The sequence below is a fragment of the Homo sapiens genome, chromosome 16 (assembly GCF_000001405.40).
Source record: "Homo sapiens chromosome 16, GRCh38.p14 Primary Assembly".
NCBI lineage: Eukaryota > Metazoa > Chordata > Mammalia > Primates > Hominidae > Homo > Homo sapiens.
In genome coordinates this window covers 85,573,057-85,600,143 of record NC_000016.10, presented here as the reverse complement: position 1 = coordinate 85,600,143, position 27,087 = coordinate 85,573,057, and the positions used below count along the sequence as shown (strand labels likewise).

The window sequence follows — 27,087 nt, the reverse complement described above, 5'->3', positions numbered from 1 at the left end:
CGTGGATGGAGCGGGCCTGGAAGAGGAAGGACCCCGTGTCTCTCTGGCTGCAATGCATAGAGAATACCCGCAGCCGCCCTCGGAGGCCACAGAGACCCAGAGGGGTAGCCAGGCACGGCTTCAAGGGGCTCACACAGGAGGGACCTTGCCAGGTCCCCGTCACAGGGAGGACAGCTGCCGCCCTCCCATTTTAGAGAGGAAAAGTCTCAGAGCCTTGCCCATGACTGGGGTGACAGCCTCATCTGTCTTCCAGGTGGCAAGTCTCTGTTGCCCAGGCTGGCAGTGGTACGATCATAGCTCACTGCAGCCTCTAACTCCTGGGCTCAAGTAATCCTCCTGCCTCAGCTTCTCAAGTAGCTGGGGCGACACGCACACCACCGTGTCCAGCCAGGTTCAGGGATCTTAAGAGGGAGAGAAGGAGAAAGAGAAAGGAAGAGAGGGTAGGGCCTGTGATAAATGTCTCTTCCATCTCCTCCAACTGCCTCAGCCCATTTCTGGCAATTCTTCAGGTCCAGAGAAGGCCACAGAGGTGAGATGCAAGAGGCTTGTGATCACAGGTGGCCAGGGAAGCACGCGGCCAGGAAGCCAGATCCCAAGATGCACCCCACTGCCACTTCCGTTGACTCACGATCCCCAAACTTCACTCTGCACAAGAACCAGCTGGTCCCGTGTCACCACCCCCACCTCCCTCACCCACATTCCAGATTGGGGGCAGGTCCAGGGCGGAGCCCAGGAATCAGTATTGTCCACAGGTAGCCCCTGTCCCAGCTCTAAGGGGGTGTCTGCCGCTCAGCCCTGGGGAACCACCCCATGACACCAGCTCACCTCGTCATCTGACCTGTGGCGTGATCGTCTTTTAAAAATTAATTGTAATTTATTTCTTCTCCCCCGCCTCTCTCTCCAAAAGAACCTGAAGCAGCATCACCAACCTCTGATATCGAGATGTGTTTATTATTTTTATGGTTTCTCCAGGAAGCGCCGGGTAACTCAAAGGGGGAATTTTATTCAGAGAGAATTGGGTCCCCAGTGTAAGTCAACATTATTCATTTAACAACTTCTATCGGCGCACGAAGATGTGAGTGGGCCTTACCCGAAGACGTCTCCTGCGGTTACTGGAAGATTTAATTCACAACATCCAAGAAAAATAATTGAGGGGGAGTAGGAGAGAGGAGGGTATGGAGCAGGGCCTGTGGCTTGGCAGTTTCTTGTGCCAACCACTGCCCCGATGCTCCAATCACCGCCTGTGGGCTTTGTCATTGATCACAGACCACAGGTCCCTGCTCCAGCAAACAAGGGGCCATGTCCTCATCCAGAGGCTGCAGAACGGACGAGGGGGCCGCACCACAAAGCCCATCTGGACAGAACTTTTGGAAGAGGTGACAGCCAAGATCCGAGCAGCCAAGCCAGCCCTCCCAGCACTCAATGGTTGCGGGATGCAAACCCTTGCCCCATGCCTACTTGGGAGGCCCACGTGGCCTGGAGCCCCTCTTGGCCTGCCTGCCCAGAAGGCGTCTTCCCTTGCCTTTGCTGCAATGCTCCTTGGTGGCTGAGGGAGCCCGGGGTCCGGGCACTACGGATTAGAAGTTCCTGCTCAGCTATTTGGAGTGCTGGTGCTTTCTTAAGCACATTCGTTTTAAAGTACACTGGCAATCTCTGAAAGATCAAAGTTGGTTTCTAATATGCATCGTTTGGAGGCAGGATACCAAGCATGGAGGGCCAGACACGCGGCTCTGGGATGGGGCTGGGCATTCTCCTGAAAGCTGATGCCCACAGACAGGGTGCACCAAGGCACAGGGACCGGCTCTCGTGGGCAGCCCACCCGAACTGCCCTGCGCAGCTGGGTGCTGGCAAACCCAGGCACAGCACATGGGGTCCCAGAGAGCAGGAGCCAGCTGCAAAGAACCTTCTGGGCCCTCTTGTCCAGCCCTACTCTGCTGAGAGATGAGAAAGTGAAAAAAAAAAAAAAAAAAAAAAAACAACCAAACCTCAGGCCTGGGAGAGAAAGAGAGAGAGAAAAACGCCGATGCCTGCACACTGATTTTTGCAGATGGGATACACCTCCCTGAAACAGTCCAGGGTCAGGTTCCGAGGAATCGCTTCTTCAGTGCACCAGTCATTTTGGTATTTTATGTTCCATTTTCCACTCTCCTCTCTACCATTCCACAAGAAGCAGGACACCCTTCTGAATACCCTGAGGGCCGATCTCTACCCGTAAGAAAGGTTAAGCACCTGAACCCAAGTCACACAGCAGCAGAGAAGATCAAAGTTCAAATCAGATTCCCAGCTCATTCTCCTACAGAGCGAATGCAAAAAGATCTAACCTGAGACCAGTAATGGCTGAGGCTGGCCCATCTTTTAGTTATTGAAGAATCCAGCCAGGCGCAGTGGATCATGCCTGTAATCCCAGCACTTTGGGAGGCCAAGGCAGGCAGAACACTTGAGCCCAAGAGTTTGAGACCAGTCTAGGCAACATGGCGAAACCCCATCTCTACAAAAAAATACAAAAATCTGCCAGGTGTGGCGGTGCATACCTGTAGTCCTAGCTACTGGGGAGGCTGAGGTGGGAGGATTGCTTGAGGCCAGGAGGTTGAGGCTGCAGTGAACTATGATCTCACTACTGCACTCCAGCCTGGGGAACAGAATGAGATCCTGTCTCTCAAAACAAATTAATTAAATTTAATTTAAAAAGAGAATCTGTGTGAGTAAACTTGTAGAATACTGCTCTCTGACAGAACTTTCTTCTTCTTTTTTTTTTTTTTTTTTTTTTTTTGAGACAGAGTCTCACTCTGTTGCCCAGGCTGGAGTGCAGTGGGACGATCTCAGCTCACTGCAACCTCTGTCTCCTGGGTTCAAAGCAATTCTCCTGGCTGGGCACGGTGGCTCACGCCATTAATCCCAGCACTTTGGGAGGCCAAGGCAGGCAGATCACCTGAGGTCAGGAGTTCGAGACCAGCCTGGCCAACATGGCGAAACCCCTTCTCTACTGCAAATGCAAAAATTAGCCGGGCATGGTGGCGGGCGCCTGGAATCCCAGCTACTTGGGAGGCTGAGGCAGGGAGGATTGCTTGAACCCAGGAGGTGGAGATTGCAGTGAGCCAAGGTCATGCCACTGTACTCCAGCCTGGGTGACAGAGGGAGAGTTCATCTCAAAAACAAACAAACAAACAAACAAACAAAAAAACAACTACAAAGCCATTCTTCTGCCTCAGCCTCCCAAGTAGCTGGGATTACAGGTGTGTGCCACCACGCCCAGATAATTTTTGTATTTTTAGTAGAGACAGGGTTTTGCCACATTGGCCAGGCTGATCTCGAAGTCCTGGCTTCAAGCGATCTGCCCGCCTTGGCCTCCCAAAGTGCTGGGATTACAGCTGTGCGCTACCGTGCCTGGCTGAACTTTCCATGATGAAGAGAACGTTGTCCATCTGAACTGTCCAGTACTGGCACACATGGCCTCTAAGCACTTGAATTGTGGCCAGTGTGACAAAGGAACTGAATTCTAGATTTTATTTCATTAATTTAAAATTTTAAAATTAAGCATAAATAGATAGTGGCTACTGTATTGGGCAGCATAATGTTAGAATACAGAAACAACTTAAATTTTCTGAGCCAACGTTTATGATATTTGGTCTGTGAGGTGTATGTGGGCTTATGGAGAAAACAAGGTGGGCCACCTGAAGGCGGAATCTTCCTGGGAGGATTCCAGAACACACGAGCACACACATGATGAACACAGTGAGCCAGGTGCCCGGCTGCTGTCATGGGAGTCTCTCTGAAAGCTTGAGTCTAGAAGCGTCACAGAAGTCTGAGAACACTGCTCCTCCCCGGGGAACTATCTTGAGGCTTCATTTCCCAAGTCAGTGATGCGTTCTGCAGCTAAGGTGGGCCAGGCCCCCTCCCCTCACGTTAGGCGGACCATCATGCTGATGTGAGAAGAGCAGATGCATCCGTCCTTCGAGCTGCGATGCAGCGGTGGGGGAGGCAGCCACGTCTCTGCCAGAGAAAAGATCCTACCTTTAGACCAAATGTAGGGACCACGGATAGACAGTGGATGAGTGCATGGGTTGAGGGACAGATGGGTTCAGGGGTGGACGGAGGAATGGGTGGATGGGTAGATGGATGGGTGGGCAGATGGGAGAATGGGTGGGCGGATGGAGGAATGAGTGGGTGGATAGAGGAATGGGTGGGAGGGCGGAGGAATGGGTGGGTGGGTGGATCGGTGGGCAGATGGAAGAATGGGTGGGTGGATGGAGGAATGGGTGGGTGGGCAGATAGAAAAGTGGGTGGGTGGATGGATGTGTGGGTAGATGGAAGAGTGGGTGGGTGGGTGGGTGGGTGGGTGGGGGAATGGATGGATAGAGGGATGGATGGATAGATGGTTGGGTGGATGAGTGAATGGCTGGGTGTGGGGATAGAGAGAGGAATAGGTGCATGAATGAATGGGTGGGTGAGTGGATGGGAGGAAGGAAGGGAGGGAGGGAGAGAAATAGATGAAAGGTAGATGGGTAGATGATGGATGGAGGAATGTTAAAACACAGAAAAGATCTGGCATTACAAAGTCCCAACCACATGGAACGTGTCCTAGAGGCTCCTCAACAGGCATCAGAGGGTTTTCAGGAAGGAACATACCAGTGTTTCCTGATCAACAAGACCATGAGGACTCTGAGCCAGCTATCTGCCCTGAGGGGTTCTCAGCCAGGAGGCACAACCCTCTCCACCAGCCTAAGTCTCTAAGTCTCCGCAGAGGGGCCTTGGGCATTCAGGCTGTGTCTGTCAAACTGAAAAGGAGAAGCTGGGCCCCCAAAGAGAAAGGATGCAGAGAAAGGATGCTTCCTGAGTTTCTCCAGAGGAAAATGCTAGAAGACCCCAGGTAATAAAGACCCTTGGGGCAGCGTGTGAGGCCTGGGCAGGGCTTCCAGAACGCAGTCTGGAGGGGATGCAGGGGCCAGAGAGCAGGACCATGTGCTGGTCTGTACTCGAGAGAGACAGGAATGTCCCAGCCTGTGCGGGCCCCAGAGAACCTGCCGGTCTGTACTCAACAGAGACAGGAACGTCCTGGCCTGTGTGGGCTCCAGAGAACCTGCCAGTCCGAACTCAACAGAGACAGGAACGTCCTGGCCTGTGCAGGCCCCAGAGAACCTGCCCTTCCTTACCGCCCCTCTGCCTGTTCCCCTGGCCCCCTGGTTTCTTTCCAAGGCTCCTCATTCCTGGGCCCTTCCCATGGCACTGGTACCTCTTCCTTCAGCATGTTCAGCACAGCCTCGTGGGCCTCCAATGATGCCCAAGGTGAGCGGCGCTGGCGCCCTCCCCGGGAGCGGGCATGACCAGCAGTCACGCACTCACCAGCCACAGACACTGGGCCTGTGTTTCGTGCAGGTGTCACTCGACAGACTTTATCCACATTCTGTCCTTTGATCCTCCTAATAGGCCCAGAAGGCAGGGACAATAATGACTCCTGTGTTACAGAGGAAGAAACCTGCTCTGAGAGGCTGAGAAACTTGCTCACATCCCACAGCGGCCATCTGACCCACGGAGACCAAGTTCGAACCTGCACTCTGATGTAGGAAGAGGCTCCACGGGCGTTTGCTGAATGAATGAATGTGTGCGTGTATGCGTGAGGGAGCGAGTGAAGGAAGGACAATTTGAAACCGTTCCTGAAGTCTAGGAGCTAAGAGCTTGCTGGAAGGACAGCATGAAAGGCAGGCCAGCAGCCCCAAGGAAGGCCCTGGCCAGGCGACCGTCCAGCCAGGGAGCCACAATTCCCCTGGAGACTCAGGGCTCACAGATGGGGCCTGGGGCATGGAAAATAAAGGAGGCTTCGGTGGAGAGCAGATGGAGAAGCTGACCGCGGTGGGGCAGGGAGGTCTGGCGGTTCCAACCCCTGCCCGCCTGTCCCCTCCGCCCCCCCCCCCCAACCCCCCAGGGATCGGGCCCAGGCCCTCCACAGCAGGCCTCCTGCCCTGGCCCATCGGGGCCACCGACAACCGGCAGGCAGGCCAGGCCTTGGGCAGCCCTGGCTGGTCCCCCTCCTCCTCCAGGCCCCTTTCCTCCCTCCCTTTTCTGCAAAGAAGTCAAATTTGCCACTCTGATGCATTAACCAAGCCGGGTAATGAATGGCGAGTGTGTGGTGTGCCCGCTTGGAGAGAAAGAAGCGCAGGCCAGGCGCGGACCCCAGCAACCGGGCAATTTTCCAGGCACTGCTTCCGAGCCCCTCCATTCAGCCCCCTCCGGCCCCCCCAGAAGAGAGAAGCAGCATGCTCTGTCATCAGAACCGCATTGTTCTGGCCAGAAGAAAAAACGGGTCCAGCAGATGGCAGGTGTAACAAAAGCAGCTTGCTGTGGCCAAACCAATTATTTATCTAATTATGATTTACCACTTAACCACATGATCTTTCTGCAGAGTTGTGGGCAATTAAAACCAGGGTGACTGTGTGGATTATGCAAATGGGCTGGAGCCCAGCGAATAAAATTGGAGATTAGACATTCACACAGGCAGGCGCTAGCACAGGGCAGCCCTGGTAGGGGGGGAGTGAGGGGCCGGGAGGGAGGGGAGGCTAAGGGGCCGGGCTGGGGAGGGCCAGGGGGTCAGGACGTGGAAGCAGGAAGGAGAAGGAGAAGCAAGGGAAGGGGAGGGGAGGACGGGAGAAGGCAGTGGGAACTGCATCCTCCCTCAAGTCCCCAGGCTGCCCCTGAATGATGACATCAGGCCCCTGGGAGAGGGAAATCAAGGCAGCTGACCTGACCAGCCCTGCAGAGAGCCAGCCTTGCCAGGCCCTGGAGGGGAGGCACTCCTGTGGCCTCCAGAGCTTGTGCTGGGCCCCATGGAGCCAGGGCACTCTCTGCTGTGGAGGGGAGGGGCGGGGTGGGGCAAGCTGGCCCCGTCCCTCCAGCTGGCTGCCCCACAGTGAGAGCTGGCCCGTGGGACCAGGTTTGGTTAGGTAGGCGGCAGCCACCACAATGACCCACTCGATAGACCAGGATGCCCACGGTTGCCCCCAGCTCTGTGACTGACCCAGCAGCTGTGTGACCCCAGCCAGTTTGCTTGTGGTCTCTGGGCTCAGTTTCCAAACAAAAGGACTAGAGAGGATGATTCCTTCACTTCCCTGCAGCTTTAAAAGATGGGGTGACACTCTCCAATAGCCAAATGCAATCCAAGTCTCCCAGAGCTGGCTGAACAGAGGTGGCGGGGCCTGGAGAGAGAGGCAGCCATGAGGGAGTCCAGGCACCCTCGCCTAGAGCTGGTCTCCTCCACCCAGAGCGCCCCCACCCACACTGCTCCGAATGCTTAGGGTGACTCATCCAGTTAAGCCTTCCAAAAGGTCTGCAAGGGGTGCCGTCATCATCCCTATTGACTGAGGCACAGAGAGGTTCAGTAACTTGCCCAAGGTCACACAGCTTGTAAAGGGCAGAGCAGGAACTGTCACGCATTTGTGCCTTCAACTCAGGCTCCCCTGAAACGCCAAGCTCTGGGTGGAAGTTAAACATAAAAACCGATGTAACCAAGGCCCCCATCCTTGAGGGGCTGCATTCTGCTGGAGAGAAATTTCTGGATCTGCCGTGTGTTTAAGCAGAAGAAGGGGCCACGGGTAGAAATGCTCCTCCCACCCCACCCCTGCAAGTGCCCGGGCAAAACCCTCCCAGACACGTGTGAAGGCCTCTGTGACTTGGAAACAGCGTCAGTGAAGAAAATATGCACAGGCCGGGCAGAGTGGCTCACGCCTGTAATCCCAGCAGTTTGGGAGGCCAAGGTGGGTGGATCACTTGAGGTCAGGAGTTTGAGACCAACTTGGGCAACATGGAGAAACCCTGTCTCTACAAAAAATACAAAAATTAGCTGGGCATGGTGGTCCCAGCTACTTGGGAGGCTGAGACAGGAGGATCACTTGAACCCAGGAAGCGGAAGTTGCGGTGAGCCAAGATCATGCCACGGCACTCCAGCCTGGGCAACAGAGAGAGACTCCGTCTCAAAAAAAAAACAAAAACAAACAAACAAAAAAACCCGAAGAAAAAAAGAAAAAGAAAAAATCTGCACAGAAAAGCTCCTCCTCACACGGAGCTCTTCCCACTAGCTCTGTACTGACGGGAGCGGGGGGCGGGGGGTGCCCCTGGCCGCAGGTGCTACTTAGCCTTAAACTGACGTGAATTAAAATTAAATACAACGAGTGCATCCGATCCTCATTGCTCCAGCCACATTCTGAGCACTCTATAGCCACATGTGGCTGGAGGCTTCCGATTTGGGCATCGCGGATCTAGAACATTCCATCAGTGTAGAATGTTCCAGCAGACAGCGCTGCTCCGGAAAGTCAGCTCCAGGAACACGGGATTTTTGTCTTTTGTTGGTGATGAATTCCTAGCACCCAGAACCGTCCCTGGCTGTCCATTTATGGAATGAATGAAGAAATGAAACGCCTCTTCTACAAAGAACAACAGTTGATTTTGAAAAGGAGCCGACGGAGTCCCGGTGAGGTCCGGACCCTGAGTGGCTGGTCTGCCTGCAGCCAGGAGCCCCCAGCACCCCCAGCCCATGCCCATCTCAGGGTCAGAGGGGAGGCTGGTCTTGCCACGGGGGGCACTGCCGACAGCCAGGTGACTGCCTCCAGGACCCCTCCCCAGCACCGCTGAGCCCGCAAGGCTGTGAGGAGCAAAAGGTTGGCTGTTTGCAAAGAACCAGTTCCCACCAAGGCTCCATCCGCATCTGGGAGTCGGGAGAAAAGTTAGAGCCACTGGGCTCCCAAATCTCCCTTCTCTTGGCCCAAACTAACCAGCCTCATCTCCCCACTTTCTGAGTTGGGGCCCTCAGTTCTAATTCAGGCTGGGGGTGACAGGGTAGCAACTGGAGGGGAAACTAGAGTTAAACAATTAAACTCCTGGGTACCTCCAGGGGCCCTGGAAATAAACCAGGAGGGCCCGACAGAGGCCCCTACACCTCAACCCCAGGGTCAGGCGCTGTTCTCTGGATCCGATGAAAGCCGTGGACCTTCTGCTAGGACTACAGGGAAGGACCCCAATTTTGCCACCAATGTCAGGGGGTCTGTAAGTCCCGATGGCCTCTGCCCTAGCATCTCTTCCCACACGAACAAGAGTAAGGAGGAAAGGGCAGGGTGGCCCTCGGGACACAGGCACCTCAAATGCCCTGTGCCCTGCTCCCCAGGAGGGCACACAGCTGTGGGCTGTCCCTGGTCCAGCTCCGAGAGCACGTCTGGTCCCCCCCACCGCATGTCAGCACCGAGTGCGGCCCAAGCTTCATCCCAGGGATTCTCGGCTAGCCCTGGGGAAAACGGGGTTCCCATTTTACAGGACGGAAAAGAGGGGTCCCAAGAGGCAGAGTGAGCTGCGGAGGGTCACAGAGCCAAATGGTGGTGCAGCGTGGCCGGGCGGGAGCCCAACACCCACTTCTCCCACAAAGGGCCCGCCACACATGCTCCACACACACTCCATCCCTCCCACACGCACACGCTGTCTCAAACACATTCACATATCACACATGCTCAATCACACACGCTCACACACAGGCCCACGCATTCACACATGCACACAATGTCACACATGCTCAATCACACATGTTCATACTCATTCACACGCGGGCCCAGTCACACACGCAATGTCACACATGCTCACACAATCACACACACACTCATTCACACACAGGCCCATGCGTTCACACATGCACAAGATGTCACACACGCTCACACAATCACACATGCTCACACTCATTCACACGCGGGCCCACATGTTCACACACACAATGTCACACATGTTCACACAATCTCACACACTCACACTCATTCACAAGCAGGCCCACGCGTTAATCACACACACTCACATTCACACATGGGCCCATGCGTTCACACACACAGTCACACATGTTCACACAAGTTCACACTCATTCACACGCGGGCCCACACGTTCACACACGCACACAAGGTCACACATGTTCACACAATCACACACATTCATTCAGTGACATACACAATGTCACACACATTCACTCACACGCTCACAATCACAGGGTCATGATCACACACGTTCAATTGCACAAATGTTCAATCACACGCCTCACACACACCTTCACAATCAGATACATTCATAAACACACAGTTCACACATTCACACTCACGTCTCATGTTCATTCACACAGGTCACACAGTCTCACATTCACACATGCATTCACACACCACACGATCACTCTCACATTCCCACAATGTCACACACGTTCACATTCATGCTCAATCACTCAGGTTCACATCACACACATTCCTTCACACACAATGTCTCTGTCACATGTTCACAATATCTCACACATGTTCACACACATTCACACATATTCACACTCACATTCACACACGTCTCACACATATTCACACATACATTCACAATGTCACACAAGTTCACACATGTTCAGTCATCCACATTCACACAGTCACATTCACACGTTCACACACACACAATATCTCACGTTCACATTCCATACACCGCCATACATTTGCACACGTCACACATACACATTCACTGACATTCACACATATGCGCATACACACACACACTGGGTCACACATGCTCAGGCACGATGCTTCAGAAATGTTATTCACTTGGAGAGCTGGTAAACAAATACCAGGGACCCCCCGCCCCACCTTCCAGAGATGCCAGGGAAACTCAACCCACCAGGTTCCCGCCATGGCTCCTCTGGAGTTCTTCCAAAAGTGCCCAGGCTCCACCCGCGCCGTGTCAAAGCTCCCACCCAGCCCAGGCCCTGCCCACCCAGCATCCAGGCTCTGCCCAGCGTCCAGGGCTCTCAGGTCCACAGCCCTCTCCCTCTCCACCTGTGTGCACAGCTGAGAAACAGGGCCCTGCCCGACCTAGAAGCCACCCACAAACCCTCCCCACCCCAGCAGGTGCTCAGGTGGCATCCTGGGTCTCCCATGCCCCAGGCAGGAGGTCTGGGGTGCAGAGTGGTCACCAACGTTCCTTTCAGCTCCTGCTAGGAAGCCGGTGGGGGTGGGGCCTGAAAAGTCCCCAGCTGGGCAGAGAGGAGGGAGGGAGGGGAGAGGCGGGTACACGGGGATCCCGGGAAGGGGAGGATTTGGGGGCCTGGAAGTCAGCACAGCCCATGGCCCTCCTGGCATGCAGGAGTGTACCCCACCCGCAGATGTGTGAGTATATGTGTGAACATGTGTTAGTGTGAACGTGTGTGTGAATATGTGTGAGTGTGAACATGTGAAAGTCCCTGGGGGGACTCTCATTTCCCCAGAGCTGTGCGCACAGCTGCCCCCCAGGGCAGTAGGTACAGAGGCCGAGGGCCGTTTTGGGAGGCAGCAGGCCTCGGGTGCTTATCTGGGCTGTCCTCAGCCCTCCAGCGTCCCCGGGCCCCCTGACAAAGGCCCCCCTCCCTCCAGGAAAGTGCTCCTTGTTAATAACGGCCACGGCAGATTTCGCCGCCTGCCCAAGTTGATAGGAGATTTATGCAGCCCGCCAAGTCGGGAAATACAGAAATATTCCTGATAATACTTCTTGTCCCAGCAAAGGTCACAGACAGGGCCTATCAATCCCGAGAAATAAAGAAGCCCCCGGTTTTGCTTGTTCTCTGGCGAGGCAGGAGAAGAGCCCTTTCTTTAATCGCCTCATTTGGAGCACTGGCCGGGGTTGTATGTCATCCGAATTACAGATTCAGCATTAATTGACCAGATGTGGGGGGCTCTTTCAGGGCCCTTGAGGATCATAAAGCCGTTCCCACACTGGTAATTAGCAGCCTAGCAGGCCCAGGCTGGGACACGGGCCCCCCAAGGCCCGCAGCGGGGAAGGGGGGGCCAGTCAGCCAGTGAGCATGTGCTGCCTCTCTCAAGGCCCAGGGACCCCCTCAAGAGCGGCCAGGCTGGTGGCCGATGCCATGTAGGGAATGCAGCGTTCTGGGAAGCTGGTGGCAGCCAGCAGTGGGTGCATTCTTTGGCTGACCCTGCCCTCCTGGTGGGGAATCGAGCGAGATGCAAGAGGCCAGCTGGGGAGAGGGGCTCACCCCAGTGAAGTGAAGCTGGCAAGGACAGCGTCGCCCACCACCAAAGGGGTGGGTGCAGCAGTGAATCCCCTGGCCTCTGGAAAGAGGAGGACGAAGAGACACTGCCTCCCCTGTAGAGAGGCGGGGGACGGTGACAGCCAGGTGACCAATTACGATGACCGAGGGCATCCACAGGGGTGACGTTACATTTAACAACCAGCCCGGCAAGGCAGGGGCTGAAGCAAGGTGGTGCCTGCCTGTCCTGCAAAACCTTAACTCTTTCACCGTCCAGACACGGGAAGGGCTGGGGGAGGGGGCCCAAGGGTCCGGGAAGGCTTGGGGGTAGGGCGAGGAACAGCCTCTTTGCCAACCGGCAGGAAAGTCCTGTAACATTTTATCCGCCAACCCAGACTAAGTATCCCAGCCCTCTAGCACTGGCTCCCTGAGGAACAGCTGGGGCAGGAGAGGGTTCTCGGTGGCAGAACCTTCCTGGGGATCCTTGCAACCCATACTCCAGCCTCTGCTCAGTGATGGGGCAAAACCAACAGGGGGCCTGGGCTGAGCTGAGAAGCCCCCACCTCGCCCAGGATCGTACCTGGATGTACCTAGGCCGAAGGTGTGAAGCCCCCGCTGTGTCCCCAGGAGCCCAGCAGGTGCACGGTGTCCCTCCCCCTCCCCCTCTGAAGCCTGACCACCCACAGCCTCACATGCACACTGCCGTGATCAGTTCTGCTGTGATGTGTTTTATGAACATGCAGATGGTACGGCCAGGGCCGGGGGAAGGTTTTTACCTTGGGATAAGAAATTAACACTGGCTAATAGCAAATTTACTGCATGTATTTTCATTTTCCTAATACCAGCGCCATCTGCTAGCAATTGGGGCTCCACATCGCCGTTTCCCCCTTTATTTCTCCCGTCCGCTCTTTCCTGTTTTCATCTTCCACGGCCGGGCCCTCCAGACCATGGGGTCTGGTCTGGGGGGGGGGGGGTTTCGTCCTCAGACCAGAGCGCCCACACTGGGACCAGCACCCTGTACCCTCCCGCCAGAGGCCGAGGCCCATCCTACTATTGTCTCCTCCAGGCTACAAGAGATGGAGGTGCCCCCACCACACACACAATTCTGCATCTTAGAGGGGTGATGCGAGCCTAGCAAGGAACAGCCTGTAACCAACCCTCACTCTCAACCATGGTAGTGCAATCAAAACAGCTCCATCCAGCCCCCTGGCAGCTGCGGGCACTTACTCCTCTCGCGCTGCATGCTGGAATTATTTAAAATAAGAAAGTTAGCTACTGTGCCTTCTGCACTGAGCTCGCCTGAGCTGGGGGAGTAGGGAGGGGCTGCCAGGGGGCCTGGGGGCACGGAGGAGAGCCCACCGGCTCCGGGGTTTCCTGCAGCCCAGGAGAAAGAGGCCCTCCATGCCGGGGCTGTGGACGGGGGTCTCACACGGCTGCTCTCAGAGGTGGGAGGGGTGATACTTTCCACATGGGAAGCCATGGAGCACGGCAGTCGGGGGGGCGCGGGGGCCGGCGTCGGGCCCGTGAGCACGTTGTAGGAGCAGCTGCGACTCTTGGCCATGCGGCCTGGCAGTGGGACAGCTGGTGTGGCCCGGCTCCCGGGAGGGACTGGATCCATCCTGGGAGCCCCTGGAAGAACAAACATACCAGGGCCGACCGATGATGACGCTCATGAAACAGCCTTCGGGCTGAGCCCATGGGAAGGCGAGATCAGAGAGATGGGGCTGGAGGAGAGGGGCTGTCCCTCCCGGCACTCGGCACTCGGGAACCTCACGGACAAAGGCATCCAGGCCAGGGCTCCGCCGTCCGAGGCAACACCTATGTCATGGGCTAAACTGTGTCCCCCAAATTCTTACGCTGAAGTCCTAACCCCCAGTGCCACAAAATGTGCCCTCATCTGGAAATTGCAGATGTAATTAATTAGTTCAGATGAGGTCACACTGGGGTAGGGTGGGCCTGAACCCACTGACTGGAGTCCTTCTAACAAGGGGAAATCTGGACACAGAGACAGATGCAGACAGCAGAATGATGATGCGAAGAGACACAGGGAACGGACGGCCAAGTAGGGGAGAGAGGCCTGCCTGGACAGACCCTTCCCTCCCAGCCCTCAAAGGGAGCCAGCCTTGGGGTGAACCTGCACCTCCCACCAAGATGCAGGCTCTTCTATTACCCCCATTTACAAGTGAGGGAACTGAGGCACAGAGAGGTTGAGTAACTTGCCCAAGGTCACACAGCTAACAATTGTCAGAGGCAGGAAGTGACCCTAGGCAGGCTGGCTCCAAGTCCACACTCCTCACACAGGTCCCAAGTCGCACCCTGCAGCCAAAGGAAATGTATGTGGATCAGACACTTAAGACACTGGCTGGGAAGCTCTCAGAGTGGGATGATGCTCGTGTCATCGCCGTCAGCTCTATAAACAAGGAAAGTGAGGCCCAGAGAAGGGACGGCACTTGCCCATGGCCATGCAGGAAGAGTTCCAGAACCAGGATGGGCCCCTTGGGCCCTGCAGCAGACTGCAATGATGGGAGGGGTCTAGACTGGGGCTGGGACAGGGCAGGAAAGTCTCCCTCCCTCCTCCCCACATGGAGACCCAGCTGGGCAGAAAGACACCCCAAAGGCAACCACGTGCCAAAGCGAGTGTTTGGAGAAACGTAGGCGACACAGAGGAGAGTCCTGCTGTCCTGGGCGTACTCCATGGGGTCTCACGGCACGGGCCTCCAAGCTCAGGGGTCATGCCTGGGCACCCTGAAAATGCCCTCTCGGCTGCCATACAGAAGAACCGCCAAAAAGGGAAGAGAGAAGGAAAGCCCCAGGGCAGGGCTTGGAGCCATCCTGGATGGGCCTCTGGTTCCTGGAGCCCTTGGGGACCAATGGGTAGAAGCCTCTGGACCCCAGGACGCCGGTGACACACAGCAGGGCAGGCAGGGCTGCAGCAGGGGTTCCTGCAGGCCAGCACGTTTTTATTGTCCCATCCTCTGTGGCCTCGCCAGAGACAACAGCAGGTGGAAAGCGGCAAACGGCTCAGCAGCTGATCACGCCTTTTTTTTTCACCTTTTAGAAAATGTCCTCGCAACTTTTCTTTCCCGTCAGTGAAAGCTCCTGCCCCATACGCTGGATTTGGCCTTGGAAGACGAGGTCTTCGGACTTCCCTGGCCATCTCTGGCGCATCCCATTACCGTGACAACCCGGGCCACGTGGCCCCACGGTTTGCCTCCTTGGAGGTTGTGGATGGGGCTGGAGGGGTGGGGGAAGGAGTGCAGGGGGCGAGGGTCTTGGCAGCCTCCACCTTGGCACGCGTTTCCATCCTGCAGAGCCACCCCCACACCCTGCTCAGCCGTGCTGCTCCCACCAACTTTTCCGGCCAGAGGGAAGCCAATGCACGAGATTAGAGGATAAAATTTGATTTGAAAGAATTTTATCGTTCAGCCCAATGATGGTTTTAAATATTAAAAAGGCATAAAACGGAGGGGGAACGGAAAAGCAGTACCAAGTACCAGCCTCAGATGGCTTTCGCCAAATAACGCTGCCATCTGAGAAAGAACGCGTGCGGGGAGAGGGAGGGGTGGGGGAAACTGCTCCACCTCCCCGATCCTACTGCTTCGCAGGCGTTCTCAAAGCAGCATCCTGGATCTCCCAAACCTCACGGAGACAGGTAATACATTCACTATTGATGGATCAGTACCCGGAGAGTGTAAATTACTGAAACAAACACGGCATAATTAGGGCATTAGAGGCAGCGTGGAGGGAAGGCGGGGTGTGCTCCGCTTGGCTGTGGCTTTCATCTTTGCAGGTGTTCATCTTGGTGGTAGCCAGCATCCCAGCCTGCCTACCATATGCACATCCCAGCTAGCCAGTTCTCAGCTGGGAGGCCCACTGGGAACTCCCTCCTGCCCAAAAAGAGGGGAGCCAGGGGCCCCGAACCAGCCTGGCATCTTGGGGAACACGCAGAGGGGGAGGAAGGTCTCCAAACAGACAGGGGCCCACGCACCGGCACGCACGCACACAAAGACCCAAGGCCAGTCTGCGGGCTGTGCAGCTGGCGAGCCTGTGTCCCCGTCCCCATGCGTGCCCTCAGGATTTCATGACAAGAATGAAACTGATCAGGCAGCCTCCAGCTCCATAATTAGGGCCAATTGAAGGAGACAAAGAAATCTATGGAGATCACAGTGGGAAGTGGTAGTGATGAACGCTGGCTTTGAAACAGCGTTTTGTACTCACTGGACCATCACTGTCTTTACATAAAAGCTGCCTGCCTCCTTTCCCTCACTCCCCTCCCTGGGAGCAGAGGCCGCCGGGGAGGCAGGCTCCAGACAGCCCCTCCAGCAATTGCCTTTTCTGGGTCAGGCCTCATTTCTCGTGGCACGACAGGAGGAGGACGGGGGGCGGGTGAGGCCTCCTCTTTTGTTTTTTTGTGTTTTGGCAGTGGGTAAAGACAAAAGGCAGGCATGAAAAGCCCCCACTCTCACATGCATCTGAATATGGGGGTGCTGCAGGAAGGTGACTCACTCACTGGCATGCTGGGAGAGCACAGGGCCCGTGTGTGAGTTTGCGTGCGAATGTGTGAGCATGTGTGAGTTCCTGCGTGTGTGACTTCAGGCGTGTGTGTGTGTGTGTTTGTGTGTGTGTTGGAATGGGGGTGGGGGGCGGTCCTGGAAAGGCCGAGAGCCTTGGAATCTGAGGAGTCTGCAGCCCATTCTTGATACTGCTTTACTTTCCAAAAAGTTATGACAACAAAACCACCCTGGGGCCCAGACCTGGAAGCCGTCAGCTATGGAGGACCCTGGAAGCAGGCAGAGAAAGGTGAGTTTGAGGGAACAGGACCAGGGGCTGCTGGCAGAGCTGCAGGGCACAGGGCACACATGGCCAGGTCTGCCTGGGCAGACAGCTCACTCCCTGGGGATCCTAGAAGGAACCCCCAACTGAGAATCGCTGTATGTCCTGCCTATTACCCTTGTAATCGGGGGAACAGGGTTGGAATCAAAGACTGGGCCAGCGTTTCCTACCGTCCCCCAGAATTCCAGCGGGAGACCCCCAGGACACCACCCTCGCAGGAGGGTGTCCTCTGGAGAGCTGGGGGTGTACCCTGCGGGGAGGAATGAGTGGCTCCAGGAAGCCACCCTGGCTGGCATCCCCGAGACTGTGCCAGCCTGCTCAAGCACGCATGTGTGGCTTCCCTCCCCGTGCCCACAGTAATCCTCCGACTTTACAGCAAATTATTAAAACTCACTTATATTTAATCTGCCTTCTGGAATTAATTGAATTTTTACGCTCAGCAAATGCCACAGTTTGTGCTGCCTCCCGATCACTGGCTCGGAACAGCTAAATGACAAGGCGGCCGACCAACCGCAGGCTGTGCAGACAGGCTCTCAGGGGTGAAAAGGCATTAAGAGGCGAGGGGGGGTTGTGCAGGATGGCCCCGTCCCCACCCCGACGCCCTGAACCGTGGAGAAGAGAAGCTCAATTTATCAACACGGGGAGGACTGAGCTCCAGGCACCCCAGGCGGCTGCGTAAGGGGGAACTGGGTGTCAGCTCTGGGGATGCCACCAGTGCTGACTGAGGACCACCAGAGGGAGGAGCCACCCAGGAAGCAAGCCAGGCAGGGCTCCTCCCCTCGCCAAGGAGGGTCCTCCCAGGGGATGTCGGGTCCAAGGAAGCTTCACCCTTTCCCAAGTGACCGGGCTCTGGCCAGTCCCCAAAAAGGCCCCAAGAACACCATTTCCTCTCCTGCACTTAGCATTCCCAGGAACCCAGCACGTGGGGGCTTCCCCATCCCCCATGAACCGCAGCCAGCTTCTGCAGTGGAGTTCCACCCGAAGGCGAAGGGATGGAGGATCCAAGGTCACACTGAATACTGGCACGCTCCCTTCTCGCCGAGACACATTAATCCAGGGGGTGCCGACACCTCGGGGGAGGAGGGGCAATGTTTGCAGAGCCCCGTTCGGGTGCTAAGTGAATCCTCTTACATTTGCCAGGTTTGGAGTTTTCAGTGCGATGACACCAGCGTGCCTGCGGAAGTGGCTGTGTCTCCTCTTGCCTCCTTCCCCACCCAATTCCGCCCCAGGAGCCCAGGGATGGAGGCCCAGGAGACGGATCCCACAAGAGCCAGCACCCACTCCACCCCAGGTAGCTGGCAGTATCTGTCTCTTCAATCTGACTGATCACCCAACTTGGGGTGGGGAGCTTTGAAAAATGTAGACTCCCAGGCCCCACCCCAGATCCTCTGGCTGGGATTTGCTGGGTGGTAGAAACCCAAGGAAGTTTGTGTTTTCTAGAACCCCATAAGATTCGGATGCAGCCAGTGGGGGACAGGAACTTCAGCAGGGGAAGCCGCAGCCCTGGGTGTAGACCCCATCCACTCGTGCCTGATGCAGCCCTCCTCTCAAGGAAGGGCGAGCTCACTGAAGGGGACAGGTCACAGGTCAGCCCAATTCACCCTGAGCACAGAAATGCACACTGCATTTAGGACGGCCGGATTGCTGGACCAAACCTGTCTCTCTGTCCCCTGCACACATATGCACATGCGCATGCACAGAGACGCATGCTGAACTTCTACGGAAGAGGAGAGCGGTAGGACCAGGCTCTCCAGGGTCCTGCCTTGGGGTCTCTCCCCACAACTGTGGCATAAACCTCTCTCCAGAAACAGAGGGCCTGATAACCCGTCAGCTCCCCAGAATCCGAATCCTAAAAGGCTCTCCCCAGGGTTCGTCCGGCTTCAGCAGAGACCCTTCCCACCCAGGCCGGAGCCCTGCATTCAGTTGCCAGGGACACCGTGCAGTACGGCCCCCAGCAACCTGAAGACATCAAGGTCCCATCCCCCTGCTTCCAAGCTGCCAACCTTCCTCATTTCCTGGGTGGTGGGTAAGGGGCAGGGGGCATGGGGCAGAAAGAGATCCTCCCCCTCTCTTGGGGCTTCCTCCACCAGCCCCCTCCCCACTGAAGCTCCCTTCTGAAGGAGGCTGGAGAGCTGCTGCGGAGAGAGGAGCCCATGTGGGATGCCCTCCCAACACACACAGGCTGATCACCTCACCAAATCCTTATTAAAACCATCCCTGTTCAAAGGCAAAATCAGCCAACCACCAGTGTCCCTCTGACCTAATGTCCAGCAGGGCAAGAGCTCAATGCCTGGATGTCACCTCCAGGGCCTCAGCAACTGTGCATCTCTGCTCAGGCTACCAAACAAAACACCCCAGACTTCGTGGCTTAAACACAGAAATTTATTTTCTCATAGTTCTTAAGGCTGGAAGGCCAAGATCAAGGTGCTGGCAGGGTTGATTTCCGTGGAGGGCTCCCTGCTTGGATTGCAGACGGCTGCCTTCTGGCCGAGAGCTCACGTGACGGAGACAGCGCACTCTCTGGGGTCTCCTCCTGTGAGGACACTAATCCTAGCAGAGCAGGGGCCCACCCTGAGAACCTCACTTAACCATAACTATTTCCTTAGAGGCTCCATTTCCAAATACAGCCACCCTGAGGGTCGGGGCTTCCACATCTGAATTTGGGGGAGCACAAACATTCAGCCTGTGACAAGGATACCAACAGATGTCAGCCACCACAGCCAGGCCTTGTGACCCAACAGGAGGCTGCGGTGTCCCTGGGCATCGCTGGGGCATGTCTCAAATGGGTCTAAACCCAGTCTCTCTGGCTGAGAGCAGAGGTCTGAGAGGCTCAATGGCAGGAAGGAGCCCAGTTCAGTGGGGAGGCAGAGAGCACGCAGCCTCCCTCCTTGGCGGGGTTCGGATGCTGGCCAGCCTTCAGGGCTGGCCGGCTGCTGCCCAAGGCCTCCCGCTTCTCCAGGAAGGGCCCTCCCTTGCTCTCTCCCTCTCTGCACTCACCCCTTCTCCCTCTCCCTACACGCTTTTCCACTGTGAGACTGGAACATCATCGGGACAGCCCAGAATGTCCTCTTCCCCTGCAGGAGCTCAGCAAACATCCACAGAGTGAACATTCCAAGCAACATAGTCCAGGAGCCACGTTCCAGCCATGGGGCCTCTGCACTGCTGTTCTCTTCACATGGCCTGCCCTTCCCCCAGAAAGAGAGAAGAGGCCCTCTCTGGTTGTCCCATCAAAACTCCACCCTTCTCTCACCCTCCTCCCAGCTGTATCCCTTCTCTGCAGCCCTAACATGCATTCCACTTTATTTCCCTTGTCTACTGTCTGCCTCTCTAACTACTAAGTCAGTTCCAGCCGCTCCAGGATTTTTGTCTTTTCAGTTTAGCCCTGGTTCCTCAGGGCCTTAGTGACTAGTGTGTAGTGCCTAGCAGCCAGTAGATGCTCAATAACTGCTTGCTGATTGACTGGGGTGAGCTCCCCATCCATGGAGCTATTTCAAGCCAAGCCTAGACGATCTTTCAGGGCTAGTTCTAACCTAAGACTTGGTAGTTCCATGACTCTCTTCCTGGCCCAGACCGAAAAGGAACTTTCAGCAGGAACCCGGGACTGGGATCTGAGATGGGGCTCCTTGGAGGACTCTGACTAGGAAGAGAGACGGGAGGCCGCACCAAAAACACAAGCCCTTCATGGGTCTCCCAGGCGTAGGTCTGGGGAATCCCCCAGGCCCCTCAGGATCGACCCTGCTGGCCCTGGATCTCCAGGACGCGTCCCTCTGACCTGCCTGCCCGGCCTGTGAGTCCCCGGCAGCAACCGCTGCAGACACAGGCTGCCCAGCGCCAGGGCCAGGCCGGATTATCATACATTAAGACATAATTACTCTGCGGAAATTTACAATACAAAGCGCCCTCCCCAAGTTGGCTTCAGAAGGATTCCAAGGATACAAAGACCTGCTGTGTCTGCCACCGACCCAAGCTGGCCCCAGCCAGAATTTCAAAAGAAGTGGGTGGGTTAGTTTTTGGAAAAACCCCATTCTACCCTCCAGGCAGAAGCCCCGCCCCAAGGGTAGAGCCCTCTGATACCCCAAGCCCCACCCAGAGGGGAGGGTCCCCTCCACCCCGACCAGCGTTGCTCCTAAACCACTCGGGTTCCCCCAAGCCCAGAAGCTCCAAGCTGACACCACCAAGGTCACCCCACTTCTCCCAAGTTCTCTCTTTTTAGACTATTTAGGCCTAAGGGCAGAAAGAACCTTAAATCCCAAGATGCTAGCTTTTGACCTGCAGAGAGGTGTGGCAGCCCACTGACATTGATTAAGCGCCTGCTGTGTGCCTGGTACTGTGCCAGCATCAGGATGCCACAGAGAACAAGACAAACCAGATCGCTGTGCTGGGGGGAGCTTACAGTCCAGTTGAGGAGACGCAGTAAGATGCTAAAAAAAAAAAAAATGCACATCAGGTGTGCAGGATGGGTGAGTGACCGGGGTGCACGGTGGCCAGAGAGCCTCAAAGGTGGCATCTGAGCAGAGGCCTGAATGAGCAAGAGAGACTAGCCTGTGCAAAGGCCCTGAGGTGGGGCCATGTGTGGTGAGGGGTAGTGGAGGCAGAGAATGCTGGCTTTTACTCTCAAGAGGGTTTCCAGCAGGGAAGCTGCCTGATTCGGGGGACACTTGGCCTGCTGTTCTGTTAGATTCCTGCATCTACCACCTCCTGGCCCTGGGATGCTGGGCAAGTCAGTTAGCCCTTTAAGCTTTTGTTCCTCCCTGCAAAATAAAAACAGTAACCACAGCTAACACACGCTTGTTGCACAGAACAAGACAGAGAAAGTCGGGAAAGGGAGGGCCATGCATGTGAGGGGCGGGGGAGAAGCTCTCTGAGCCTTAGCTGCCCCACATGTGAAATGGGAACCAGCCCCTGCCAACAGAAGGACTAAAGGCCCAGTGACTTGTGCCTCTGTCGTCTGGGGAGCCCAGGCACTTGGAGCCTGGCGTTCGGGACAGGCTGCCACCGTTATCCATGGCATTCAGGTGAAAACGCTGATGAAGGGGTAATTTATCCCTCCAGCCATAAAACCTGGGGGAAGCCGCACAGCAAGCAGCTGTCCCGGTGCCGCCCTCCCAGGTGTCAGCGCACAATATCTGGGGCGGCTCAGGGGGTCCTGGGGAGAGGCCCTGCCAATCTCCTCCAGCCTGCTGGGTGCCAGCCAGAGTGGAGAGCTGGGAGGGGCCGGAATTCAACGGAAGAACTGCAGGCCTTTCAGCAGCCTCCTCGCAGGAGAACAAAGGCTGCAGCCTCCCAACACCAGGTGGCTGACAGCAAAGAAAGAGGCTCAGAGAGGGGAAGCAACTTGCCTGGAGCCACACAGCGCACAGCAGCAAGCCGGGCTCTGCAAAGGCACGGCCATCGGGCATCAGCACCTGTACTGCTGACTGGCTTGGAAGGCTCAGCTCAACTGAGAAATGCAAAATGCTGGAGCCCCTGGAGGACTGGAGTGGAAAAGGGGAAACCTGGAACCCAAGCCTTTATCTGCCCTGCTGGGGTGGGGGACCCGGGCTTCTTCCTAAAACTCCTGGGCAAGGGTAGAAAGAAACATCAGTTCCTGAGTCAAGGGTAGAGCCAGGCCACCCCTTCCTAGGATGGGTGATCAGGACCTGCCGGGTGACCCTCGACCTCTGTGCCACACTCACCCTGGGCAGGTGACTGTGCCTCTCTGGGGTCAGCCCCTCCTCTGTGAAAGGGGGATAATCGCAGCGCTGCCTCCTGGGCTAGTGCGAAGGAGAAATGAGCCCATGCAGGTACTGCATAGAGTAGGCGCTCAATAAGCTTCAGCTCTGGCTAGCCCAGGATGGAGGACTCTTTGGATGTCCTCCAGCTGCTGGGTGGGGTGGTGGGGTCCTTGTCACAGCAGACCTGCCCTGGCTGGCCCTGAAGCACTTCCTCCACCACCCTTGCAGGGACAGCAGAGAAAAACCCAAGTGCCCCGAATGCACACCCCACTTCCCTGAGAGGACCGCGTCCTCCCTCCTCGAGGTGATCACCACTGGGCAGGCTGGGCACCTCCACTTTCTGGGACCCCAACTTCAAGGGCATCAGCCACCACCTACCATGAAGAGAACCGCAGAGGAGAAGACCTGCCTCTGCCCCTGGCCGGGTGCCCAGGGACGGTCAGCTCACCTCCAGGACCCCAGCGTCCTGACTGTGATGCCCCTGGCCGGGTGCCCGGGGAAGGTCAGCTCACCTCCAGGACCCAAGTCCTGACTGTGATGCCCCTGGCCGGGTGCTTGGGGATGGTCAGCTCACCTCCAGGACCTCAGCGTCCTGACTGTGATAATCAAGACAGGGTCACCTAAAGCCCCCATGCAGGGCCTGCATTCAGGGAAGGGCCTGCCTGCTCTTGTAAACCAGGCAGTGTTGCAAAACTGGGGTGGGAGAAGCTGTGAGAGCCCAGTGATGACCCAGGGTCCCCGTGTCTAATCCACAGGCTTTGCAGTGGCAAAGCAAGACAGAAGCACCATGATCCCCAAGGACACACCAGGGCATCAGTCCCCAAGCAAGCCTGGAACCCAGATTTGCAACCCCAGGACACAACTGCTTTTAGTCCCTCCTGGACACTTGGGAAAGAAAAGCGTTTCTAAAACTCTACATCAAGAATAGGTGACCCTTCAAAAAATGCCCCGTAATACCCATAACATACCCCTGCTCTTGGCAGGGCTTAGTTAGGAAGAAAGGGTCTGGGGACAGCTTCTCCCGGGAGAGCAGACAGTCAATTCGGGACTTGCTAGAGGAAGACATGCGGCCCAGATGTCAGGTGATCCGAGCTCCAGCATCTACCCCAGGCCTCTAGCAGAGACCAATAAGGACGTCTAGGCTCCAAAAGTGTGGAAGGGGCAGCGTTTGGCTTCCCTTCGCTTTTCAAAAGCAAGCCCACCTCTATGCTCATTTCAAAGTCCTTCGTTAAGAGATAAACTATTTCCTCGTAGAGTCTGGAAAACCCATTTATTTTCAAATTCCAGTTACATCGGAGACCATGTCCCTTTAAATGTGCCTTTCCCTCTGGAATCCAAGAGACTCCGAAGCATTTGGTAATATTGTGTATTAAGGACGCACCATAAAAATAAATTGCATTGTAAAAGCTGGCCTCTTAACAGACAACCTTAGCTCCAGGGTTAAATGTCTAATTCCATACTATTACCCAGAGAGAGATCAGATAAATCAAAGGGCACCGGTATTCCTGGCCTTGCTCCTGTGGGCCTCTGGCCTGGCACAGAATGTGTTAAGCAGGGCCCAGGATAAGAAACCTCTTCCAGGTAATACTCCCCCGTCACTGCTCTAACACCAGGAGCACCTTCAAAACCAAATGCTCCCAAAGACAGCTGTCAGACACATTAAAAAACAGGAAGGGGAAAAAAAAAAAAAAAACAGAAACGAGGCAGCATACCAAATGCCAAAATATAATGAAAATTCAACAGCTAAAACAAATATAACCATAAAAAGACTGGAATCCTAGAAAAGCGATCTCTACAATTAAGCAGTTTTCTGCTATATAGTGATAATCACCTAATTATACTATTAATGACAGTTCAACCTGCTTTGAAATAAAAGGACATTCTTCCATAACAGGATGCCAGCTGTTAGTTACAGATGTCAAACATCTTTAAAGCATTATTATTAAGGGGGAGGAAAAAAACCCTATAAAATGAACACATCCATATGCCCCTCCCGCCCGTCATGAAAAAGAAATCGCAATTAGCCGTGTGTTTTTGCAGTGCCCAAGTGAAAAAATAAAAATAAAATGTGAAAGCCCAAGGAGGAGATCAGAAAAGAGGGGAGACGAGAGGGGAGACGAGAGGGAAGCCGGTCCCCACAGGGCACACAGCACCAGAGCGAAGCAAGGAGGGGTCTGTGTGTATTTTAACGGCATCCTTAATTCCTTCCAATGAAATAATCTCCGGAACCAGGATGTTTATGCCGGATAGCAGATCTCCTAGATTCCGCCAGAACTCCCCGGGTAAACACAAATCCTGGAGTGCCTCGTTTGAAAGCTGCTCGCCACAGCCAAAGCTGGGAGCACCGCAGGTTGCAGAGGTGGCTGCCACCTGCCTGCCCTGGCCCTGTGGACATATGCTCAGCCTCATTCCCTGCCAGTATTTCTTCAAACTGTGCGTGCCTCTGACATTCTGTAGCGCCAAGGTGTGATAAATATCCAACTTTGTCTTCTGACAATAGGCAGCCACATTTAATTAACTGGAGCGTAAAAAGCCGGGGGGCGGGGGAGAGGGGGAGCGGGGAGCCGCTCCCCAGCGAGGGGATTAACCTTTGAAGCAAGCCGCTGGCAGGGCAAGGGGGCTGCCCGGCCTTGTCGGGAGGGTGCGAAGACAAGCTGGCTCAATCTAAAGAGGGGACGCTCAGGGTTAAATCCCCCGCCTGCCTGGAGCGCAGATCCCAATATAACCAGGGCAGGCTCCAGCAGGGAGCCCCCAAGGGTCCGTGACCGATGCCTGCTGCCTCCCACCCTGGCTGTAGCTGGGTGAGGAGGAGACCCAGGGGACCTGAAGCACAGGAGGAGACCAGCCAAATCTCAGCAGAGCCACCAGCGGACAGGACACAGTGTTTTCCGAAGGAAAAAAAACATCTGGCACATTCCACACCAGCGCCTTCTTGGGCTCTTGGCATCACAGCCCAGGTGTCCTCTGGAGGCCGGGCGGAGAGGCCCAGAAAGGAATGACCTAGGCCCAGAAAGGAATGACCTGGCTTTGGGTGTGTTCTACGAGGTCACTTCCTGTAGCTTTCTGACCCCGGGGCCTCGTCCGAGGCGGAAGGGACAACTTCGCAGAGTTCGGCTACTGCTGACGCGCAGGGAGTAAGCCTCGGGTTTTGATGGGATAGCAGACAGGTGGATTGCAGAGCTCCGGAAAGACCCAGCCGGGTGTCAAGAAGAGCCCTCCTAGTTTGGCCTCTAACTGGCTGTGTGACCCCAGGCAGGTCACTTGTCCTCTCTGGGAAGCAGCTGAATAATGAACACTGGGATTTTCCCAGGCTGGCTTCTCACTGCAGAGCAGAGGAAAAGCATTCTGGGGGCCTGCTATGGAGGGTCATTTATCCAGTTTACAACTTCCACGGCCGGCCCTCAATGGCTTCCTTTCTCTCCCACAAGAGCGCTGGGCCAAGCCAGCTCTGCACCAGTTGGACGCCTTCCAAGAAAAACTCAGGCTCCGGGGGCTGCTTGTCAGGACCAGACGGGAGGCCTGGCGCCCCCGCCCGCCATGTGTGGGGAGCGGGCCTCTCCCAAGCCAGTCCCCGCGGGGGCTGAGCTGATGGGATGTCCTGCTTCTTCTCTGGCCAAAGAGACGGCGCCACGTCTGCCCGAGTTCTCCTGAAATTCCCACACAAGGAGGGTGGCAGCTGTCACCTGCCCTTCCCAGCTTTGGTCTCTTTTTCTATGGAATTCAGCTTTGGAAAACATTTTCTTGAGTTCCCAGGAAGTTCCCCAGAAACACAGGGAGGACACTCACTCACAATAACTCCAATCTGAGGCAACTGGTGGCCGGAGGAGGAGAAATGCTTCCCGGGCCCAGACTGGCACAAACCAGTGCGCCTGCCGGCTCCCCCTCCGGACGCGCCCACTGTGATGGCTGGGTGTTGCTATTAATAGCAGCAATGAAAGACATCATTCAGCTCCTTCAAGTTTCCAAATAAAATACGCTACTTGATACAGAAAACCAGCAGGACCCCAGGACACAGCTCCACTTCACAGCTGGGAAAACTGAGGCTCAGGAAGAGAGTCTGGCAGTTCCTCAAAAAGTTAAATAGACTTACCAGAAGGTGCAGCAGTCCCACTACAGATACATGCCCAAGAGAAATGAAAACATACAGACACACAAAAACATGCACGCCAGTGTTCACAACAGCATTATTCGTAATAACCAAAAAGTAGAAGCAAGCTGAACGTCATCAACAGATGCATGGAGAAACAGAACGTGGTCTATCCAGGCCAGGACAGACGACTTGGCTATGAAAAGGAATGAAGTACTAGCCCAGCACAGTGCAGCGCACCCGTAGTCACCGCTACTCAGAAAGTGAACATGGCTTGAGTCCAGGACTTCGAGGCCAGCCTGGACAACATAGCAAGACTTCATCCTTTAAAAAAAGAAAGGGATGGGCCGGGCGCAGTGGCTCAAGCCTGTAATCCCAGCACTTTGTGAGGCCGAGGCGGGCGGATCACCTGAGGTCAGGAGTTTAAGACCAGCCTGGCAAATATGGCAAAA

At 55.6% G+C, this 27,087-nt stretch overlaps 1 protein-coding gene and 1 long non-coding RNA gene across 18 annotated transcripts in view, besides 11 other annotated features; one reads left to right on the top strand and one right to left on the bottom strand.

Moving 5' to 3' along the window:
• The window catches only part of GSE1 (Gse1 coiled-coil protein), a 506,689-nt gene that overhangs the window by 76,057 nt on the left and 403,545 nt on the right, over positions 1-27,087 (bottom strand). The gene's annotated exons all lie outside the window — the stretch shown is intronic.
• Positions 104-804: an enhancer, noted in NCBI's record as "H3K27ac-H3K4me1 hESC enhancer chr16:85632946-85633646 (GRCh37/hg19 assembly coordinates)". NCBI's record gives its function as "activates a minimal SCP1, AML or CMV promoter by ChIP-STARR-seq in primed H9 embryonic stem cells {active_cell/tissue: H9 hESC(primed)}" and the evidence as "EXISTENCE:reporter gene assay evidence [ECO:0000049][PMID:30033119]".
• Positions 8,902-9,817: an enhancer, noted in NCBI's record as "H3K4me1 hESC enhancer chr16:85623933-85624848 (GRCh37/hg19 assembly coordinates)". NCBI's record gives its function as "activates a minimal SCP1, AML or CMV promoter by ChIP-STARR-seq in naive H9 embryonic stem cells {active_cell/tissue: H9 hESC(naive)}" and the evidence as "EXISTENCE:reporter gene assay evidence [ECO:0000049][PMID:30033119]".
• Positions 11,200-12,156: an enhancer, noted in NCBI's record as "H3K27ac-H3K4me1 hESC enhancer chr16:85621594-85622550 (GRCh37/hg19 assembly coordinates)". NCBI's record gives its function as "activates a minimal SCP1, AML or CMV promoter by ChIP-STARR-seq in naive H9 embryonic stem cells {active_cell/tissue: H9 hESC(naive)}" and the evidence as "EXISTENCE:reporter gene assay evidence [ECO:0000049][PMID:30033119]".
• Positions 14,117-14,727: an enhancer, noted in NCBI's record as "H3K4me1 hESC enhancer chr16:85619023-85619633 (GRCh37/hg19 assembly coordinates)". NCBI's record gives its function as "activates a minimal SCP1, AML or CMV promoter by ChIP-STARR-seq in naive H9 embryonic stem cells {active_cell/tissue: H9 hESC(naive)}" and the evidence as "EXISTENCE:reporter gene assay evidence [ECO:0000049][PMID:30033119]".
• Positions 14,728-15,338: an enhancer, noted in NCBI's record as "H3K4me1 hESC enhancer chr16:85618412-85619022 (GRCh37/hg19 assembly coordinates)". NCBI's record gives its function as "activates a minimal SCP1, AML or CMV promoter by ChIP-STARR-seq in naive H9 embryonic stem cells {active_cell/tissue: H9 hESC(naive)}" and the evidence as "EXISTENCE:reporter gene assay evidence [ECO:0000049][PMID:30033119]".
• Positions 15,339-15,949: an enhancer, noted in NCBI's record as "OCT4-NANOG-H3K27ac-H3K4me1 hESC enhancer chr16:85617801-85618411 (GRCh37/hg19 assembly coordinates)". NCBI's record gives its function as "activates a minimal SCP1, AML or CMV promoter by ChIP-STARR-seq in naive H9 embryonic stem cells {active_cell/tissue: H9 hESC(naive)}" and the evidence as "EXISTENCE:reporter gene assay evidence [ECO:0000049][PMID:30033119]".
• Positions 15,950-16,561: an enhancer, noted in NCBI's record as "OCT4-NANOG-H3K27ac-H3K4me1 hESC enhancer chr16:85617189-85617800 (GRCh37/hg19 assembly coordinates)". NCBI's record gives its function as "activates a minimal SCP1, AML or CMV promoter by ChIP-STARR-seq in primed H9 embryonic stem cells {active_cell/tissue: H9 hESC(primed)}" and the evidence as "EXISTENCE:reporter gene assay evidence [ECO:0000049][PMID:30033119]".
• GSE1-AS1 (GSE1 antisense RNA 1) lies at positions 16,542-21,615 on the top strand. The gene is made up of 3 exons (NR_198978.1): positions 16,542-16,801; positions 17,975-18,125; positions 19,915-21,615. It is a non-coding gene; the product is annotated as a GSE1 antisense RNA 1 (long non-coding RNA).
• Positions 16,562-17,171: an enhancer, noted in NCBI's record as "H3K27ac-H3K4me1 hESC enhancer chr16:85616579-85617188 (GRCh37/hg19 assembly coordinates)". NCBI's record gives its function as "activates a minimal SCP1, AML or CMV promoter by ChIP-STARR-seq in primed H9 embryonic stem cells {active_cell/tissue: H9 hESC(primed)}" and the evidence as "EXISTENCE:reporter gene assay evidence [ECO:0000049][PMID:30033119]".
• Positions 19,630-20,194: an enhancer, noted in NCBI's record as "H3K27ac-H3K4me1 hESC enhancer chr16:85613556-85614120 (GRCh37/hg19 assembly coordinates)". NCBI's record gives its function as "activates a minimal SCP1, AML or CMV promoter by ChIP-STARR-seq in naive H9 embryonic stem cells {active_cell/tissue: H9 hESC(naive)}" and the evidence as "EXISTENCE:reporter gene assay evidence [ECO:0000049][PMID:30033119]".
• Positions 21,891-22,456: an enhancer, noted in NCBI's record as "H3K27ac-H3K4me1 hESC enhancer chr16:85611294-85611859 (GRCh37/hg19 assembly coordinates)". NCBI's record gives its function as "activates a minimal SCP1, AML or CMV promoter by ChIP-STARR-seq in primed H9 embryonic stem cells {active_cell/tissue: H9 hESC(primed)}" and the evidence as "EXISTENCE:reporter gene assay evidence [ECO:0000049][PMID:30033119]".
• Positions 23,022-23,588: an enhancer, noted in NCBI's record as "H3K4me1 hESC enhancer chr16:85610162-85610728 (GRCh37/hg19 assembly coordinates)". NCBI's record gives its function as "activates a minimal SCP1, AML or CMV promoter by ChIP-STARR-seq in naive H9 embryonic stem cells {active_cell/tissue: H9 hESC(naive)}" and the evidence as "EXISTENCE:reporter gene assay evidence [ECO:0000049][PMID:30033119]".